Here is a 4,996-nt window from a genome sequence, read left to right as displayed (position 1 = left end):
TCTGTCTAATTTGTATCTCAAGTTATTTCCTTTTCCATCATAGGCCTCAAATCGCTCCAAATATCCACTTGCAAATACTACAAAAAGACTGTTTCGAAAGTTCTCTCTCAAAAGGAAGGTTCAACTCTGTGAGTTGAATGCACACATCACAAGGCAGTTTCTGAAAATGCTTCTGTCCAATTTTTATGTGAGGATATTCCCTTTTCCATCATAGGACTCAAGTCGCTCTAAATATCCAATTTCAGATACTACAAAAAGACTGTTTCAAAACCGCTCTCTCAAAGGGAAGGTTCAAGTCCGTGAGTTGAATGCACACATCACAAAGCAGTTCCTGAGAATGCTTCTTTCTAGTTTTTATGTGAATATGTCTCCTTTTCCACCATAGGCTTCAAAGCGCTCCAAATGAGAACTGGCAGATACTCTTAAAAGACGGCCTCTAAACCGCTCTATCAAAAGAAGGGTTCCACTCCAAGAGGTGAATTCACATATCACGAAGAAGTTTCTGAGAATGCTTGGGTCTACTTTTCATGTGAAGATACCCGTTTCCAACGAATTCTTCAAAGAGTTCCAAGTATCCACAAGCAGATTCTACAAAAGGAGTGCTTAAATGCTGGTCTATCTAAAGACAGATTCAACTCTGTTAGTTAAATGCACACATCTCAGTGAAGTTCCTGAGAATGCTTCTGTCTAGTTTTTATTTGAAGATATTTCTTTTTCCACCGTAGGCAACAAAGCGCTCCAAAGGAACTCTTGCGGATTCTACAAAAAGCGTGTTTCCACACTGCTCTATCAAAAGAAAGTTTCAAGTCTGTGAGTTGAATTGCACACATCCCAGTGAACTTTCGGAAAATGCATCTGTCTAGTATGCATGTGAAGAGATTCCATTTACAACGAATTCCTCAAAGAGCTCCAAATATCCACAAGCAGAGTCTACAAAAGCAGTGTTTTGAAACTGCTCTATCAATAGAAAGGTTCAACTCTGTAAATTGAACACACACACATCCAAAGGAGTTTCTGAGAATCCTTCCGTCTGGTTTGTATGTGAAGTCATTTCCTTTTCCATCTAAATCGCCTCAAATCGCTAAAAGATCCACTCGCAGATACTACAAAAAGACTTTCAAAACTGCTCTCTCAAAAGGAAGGTTCAACTGTGTGAGTTGAATGCACACATCACATAGCAGTTTTTGAGAACGCTTCTGTCTACCTTTTTAAGTAACGATATTTTCTTTCCACCATAGGCAACAAAGCACACGGAATGAAAACTTGCAGATTCTACAAAAAGTGTGTTTCAACACTGCTCTATCCAAATAAATGTTCGAGACCGTGAGTGGAACACACACAACAGAAAGCAGTTTCTGAGGATGCTTCTGTCTAGTGTTTCTATGAAGATAATTCTTTTTCTACCATAGGCAACAATTCGCTGCAAATTAACACTTGCAGATTTCACAAAAACTGTGTTTTAACACTGCTGTATCAAAACAAATGTCCAAGTCTGTGAGTAGATTGCACACATCACAAATCAGTTTCTGAGAATGATTCTGTCTAGTCTAGTTAGAATGTGAAGATATCCCGTTTACAACGAATTCCTCCGAGAGCTCTAAATATCTGGAAGCAGATTCTACAAAAGCAGTGCTTCAAACCTGCTCTATCAAAGGAAAGGTTCAGCTCGGGGAATTGAACACAAGCATCACAAAGGAGTTTCTGAGAATGCTTCTGTCTAGTTTGTATGTGAAGATATTTCCTTTTCCATCATAGGCCTCAAATCGCTCCAAATATCCACTTGCAGATACTCCAAAAATACCGTTTCAACACTGCTCTCTCCAATGGAAGGTTCAACTCTGTGAGTTGAATGCACACATCACAAAGCAGTTTCTGAGAATGCTTCTGCCTAGTTTTTTGTGAAGATATTCCCTTTTCCACCATAGGCTTCACAGCGCTCCAAATGAAAACTTGCAGGTCCTACAAAAAGACTGATTCAAAACTGCTCTCCCAAAAGGAAGGTTCAACTGTGTGAGTTGAATGCACACATCACAAAGCAGTTCCTGAGAATGCTTGGGTCTACTTTTTATGTGAAGATACCCGTTTCCAACGAATAACTCAAAGAGTTCCAAATATACACAGTCAGGTACTGCAAAAGGAGTGTTTCACTCCTGCTCTGTCAAAAGACAGTTTCAACTCTGTTAGTTGAATGCACACATCTCAATGAAGTTCCTGAGAAGGCTTCTGTCTAGTGTTTAGGTGACGATATTACCTTTTCCCACATAGGCAACAAAGCGCTCCAAATGAATACTTGTGGGTTCTACAAAAAGTGTGTTTCAACACTGCTCTATCAAAAGAAAGTTTCCAGTCTGTGAGTTGAATGCACACATCACAACGAACTTTCTGAGAATGCTTCTTTCTATTTTTCAGGTGAATATATCACTTTTTCCAACATACGTAAAAAAGTACTCGAAATGAACACTTGCAGATTCTACAAAAAGGATGTTTCAACACTGCTCTATCAAAAGAAAGGTTCAACGATGTGAATTGAACACACACTTCACAAAGGAGTTTCAGAGAATGCTTCCGTCTAGTTTTTTATTTGAAGGTATTTCCTTTTCCTTCTTCGGCCTCAAATCACTGCAAATATCCACTTGCAGACACTACAAAAAGACTGTTTCAAAACCGCTCTCTCAAAAGGAAGGTTCGACTCTGTGAGTTGAATGCACACGTTACGAAGCAGTTTCTGAGAATGCTTCTGTCTAGTTTGTATCTGAAGTTATTTCCTTTTCCATCACAGGCCTCAAATCGCTCCAAATATCCACTTGCAAATACTACAAAAAGACTGTTTCAAAAGTTCTCTCTCAAAAGGAAGGTTCAACTCTGTGAGTTGAATGCACACATCACAAGGCAGTTTCTGAAAATGCTTCTGTCCAATTTTTATGTGAAGATATTCCCTTTTCCATCATAGGACTCAAGTCACTCTAAATATCCAATTTCAGATACTACAAAAAGACTGTTTCAAAACTGCTCTCTCAAAAGGAAGGTTCAACACCGTGAGTTGAATGCACACATCACAAAGCAGTTCCAGAGATTGCTTCTTTCCAGTTTTTATGTGAATATATCTCCTTTTCCACCATAGGCTTCAAAGCGCTCCAAATGAGAACTGGCAGATCCTCATAAAAGACTGCCTCAAAACCGCTCTATCAAAAGAAGGGTTCCACTCCAAGAGGTGAATTCACACACCACGAAGAAGTTTCTGAGAATGCTTGGGTCTACTTTTCATGTGAAGATACCCGTTTCCAAAGAATTCTTCAAAGAGTTCCAAATATCCACCTGCAGATACTACAAAAGGAGTGTTTAAATGCTGGTCTATCTAAAGACAGATTCAACTCTCTTAGTTAAATGCACACATCTCAGTGAAGTTCCTGAGAAAGCTTCTGTCTAGTTTTTATTTGAAGATATTTCTTTTTCCACCATAGGCAACAAAGCGCTCCAAGGGAACTCTTGCAGATTCTACAAAAGTGTGTTTCTACACTGTTCTATCAAAAGAAAGTTTCAAGTCTGTGAGTTGAATGAACACATCCCAGTGAACTTTCGGAGAATGCATCTGTCTAGTTTGTATGTGAAGATATTCCATTTACAATGAATTCCTCAAAGAGCTCCAAATATCCACAAGGAGATTCTACAAAAGCAGTGTTTTAAAACTGCTCTATCAATAGAAAGGTTCAACTCTGTTAATTGAACACACACATCCAAAGGAGTTTCTGAGAATCCTTCTGTCTGGTTTGTATGTGAAGTCATTTCCTTTTCCATCTAAATAGCCTCAAATGGCTAAAAGATCCACTTGCAGATACTACAAAAAGACTTTCAAAACTGCTCTCTCAAAAGGAAGGTTCAACTGTGTGAGTTGAATGCACACATCACATAGCAGTTTTTGAGAACGCTTCTGTCTAGCTTTTTATGTAACGATATTTTCTTTCCACCAGAGGCAACGAAGCACACGGAACGAAATCTTGCGGATTCTACAAAAAGTGTGTTTCAACACCGCTCTATCCAAAGAAAGGTTCGAGTCCGTGAGTTGAACGCACAAAACAGAAAGCAGTTTCTGAGGATGCATTCTGTCTAGTGTTTCTATGAAGATAATTCTTTTTCTACCATAGGCAACAATACGTTGCAAATGAACACTTGCAGATTTCACAAAAACTGTGTTTTAACACTGCTCTATCAAAAGAAATGTCCAAGTCTGTGAGTTGATTGCACACATCACAAAGCAGTTTCGGAGAATGATTCTGTCTAGTCTAGTTAGAATGTGAAGATATCCCGTTTACAACGAATTCCTCCGAGAGCTCTAAATATCTGGAAGCAGATTCTACAAAAGCAGTGCTTCAAACCTGCTCTATCAAAGGAAAGGTTCAGCTCGGGGAATTGAACACAAACATCACAAAGGAGTTTCTGAGAATGCCTCTGTCTAGTTTGTATGTGAAGATATTTCCTTTTCCATCATAGGCCTCAAATCGCTCCAAATATCCACTTGCAGATACTACAAAAATACCGTTTCAACACTGCTCTCTCCAATGGAAGGTTCAACTCTGTGAGTTGAATGCACACATCACAAAGCAGTTTCTGAGAATGCTTCTGCCTAGTTTTTTGTGAAGATATTCCCTTTTCCACCATGGGCTTCACAGCGCTCCAAATGAAAAATTCCAGGTCCTACCAAAAGACTGATTCAAAACTGCTCTCTCAAAAGGAAGGTTCAACTGTGTGAGTTGAATGCACACATCACAAAGCAGTTCCTGAGAATGCTGTCCCAGCTACTCGGGAGGCTAAGGCAGGAGAATGGCGTGAACCCGGAAGGCGGAGCTTGCAGTGAGCCGAGATCGCGCCACTGCACTCCAGCCTGGGCGACAGAGCGAGACTCCGTTTCAAAAAAAAAAAAAAAAAAATAAAAAAAAAAAAGAAAGGTTCAACGATGTGAATTGAACACACACATCACAAAGGAGTTTCAGAGAATGCT

At 39.5% G+C, this 4,996-nt stretch overlaps 1 annotated feature.

Moving 5' to 3' along the window:
* Positions 1 to 4,996: part of a centromere (Linear centromere model derived predominantly from reads generated in PMID: 17803354. This region does not represent an actual centromere sequence, as long-range ordering of repeats and unmapped WGS contigs is not provided by the model. For details of model production, see http://arxiv.org/abs/1307.0035.) that runs on past both edges of the window.

The sequence above is a fragment of the Homo sapiens genome, chromosome 5, assembly GCF_000001405.40.
Source record: "Homo sapiens chromosome 5, GRCh38.p14 Primary Assembly".
Taxonomy (NCBI): domain Eukaryota; kingdom Metazoa; phylum Chordata; class Mammalia; order Primates; family Hominidae; genus Homo; species Homo sapiens.
The sequence above is the reverse complement of the archived record's forward strand: the minus strand, read 5'-3'. Positions and strand labels throughout refer to the sequence as shown.